Source organism: Homo sapiens, chromosome 8, assembly GCF_000001405.40.
Source record: "Homo sapiens chromosome 8, GRCh38.p14 Primary Assembly".
Lineage (NCBI taxonomy): Eukaryota > Metazoa > Chordata > Mammalia > Primates > Hominidae > Homo > Homo sapiens.
The window spans coordinates 45,995,240-45,996,419 of record NC_000008.11 but is presented as its reverse complement, the minus strand read 5'-3'; the positions used below and the strand labels follow the sequence as shown (position 1 = coordinate 45,996,419).

The 1,180-nt window shown below is 35.7% G+C and overlaps 1 annotated feature.

Annotated features, from left to right (window-relative positions):
• Nucleotides 223–724: an enhancer, noted in NCBI's record as "NANOG hESC enhancer chr8:46907318-46907819 (GRCh37/hg19 assembly coordinates)". NCBI's record gives its function as "activates a minimal SCP1, AML or CMV promoter by ChIP-STARR-seq in primed H9 embryonic stem cells {active_cell/tissue: H9 hESC(primed)}" and the evidence as "EXISTENCE:reporter gene assay evidence [ECO:0000049][PMID:30033119]".

The window sequence follows — 1,180 nt, the reverse complement described above, 5'->3', positions numbered from 1 at the left end:
AAATATCCAACTGCTGATTCTACAAAAAGATTGTTTCAAAACTGCTCAATCAAAAGAATGGATAAACTCTGTGGGTTGAATGCACACATCACAAAGAAGGTTCTGAGAATGCTTCTGTCGAGTTTTTGTGGTAAGATAATTTTTTGGGTACCATAGGTGTCAAAGCGCCATACAAATCCAATTGCAGATTCTACAAAAAGAGTGTTTCAAAACTGCTAAATCAATAGAAAGGTTCAACTCTGTGAGATGAATGCACATATCACAAAGAAGTTTCTCAGAGTGTTTCTGTCTGGTTTTTATGTGAAGATATTTCTTTTTCAACTATAGGCCTCAAAGAGCTCAAAATATCCACTTGCAGATTCCACAAAAAGATTGTTTTCAAACTGCTCCATCAAAAGAAAGGTTCAACTCTGTGAGTTGAATGCACACATCACAAAGATGCTTCTGAGAAAGCTTCCATCTAGTTTTTATGTGAAGATATTTCCTTTTCCACCATAGGCCTCAAAGGGCTCAAAATATCCACTTGCAGATTCTACAAAAAGATTGTTTCCAAACTGCTCAATCAAATGAAAGGTTCAATTCTGTGAGTTGAATGCACACATCACAAAGATGCCTCTGAGAAAGCTTCCGTCTGGTTTTTATGTGAAGATATTTCCTTTTCCACCATAGGCCTCAAAGCGCTACAAATATCCACTTGCAGATTCTACAAAAAGAGTGTTTCAAAGCTGCTCAATCAAAAGAAATGTTCGACTGTGTGAGATGAATGCACACATTACAAATAAGTTTTTCAGAATGCTTCTCAATAGTTTTTATGTGAAGATATTTTGTCTTCAGGTATTGGCCTCAAAACGCTGGAAATATGCATTTGCAGATACTACAAAAAGAGTGTTTTCAAACAGCTCAACCAAAGAAAATTTCAACTCTGTGAGTTGAATGCACATATCACAAAGTTGTTTGTGATTATGCTTCTGTTTAGTTTTTATGTGAAGATATTCCCTTTTCAGCTATTGGCCTCAAAGCACTCCAAATATTCATTTGCAGATCCTACAAATAGAGTGTTTAAAAACTACTCTATCAAAAGAAAGGTTCATCTCTGTGAGTTGAATGCACAAATCACATAGAAGTTTCTGAGACGGCTTCTGTCTAGTTTTCATGTGAACATATTTCCTTTTCCACCATA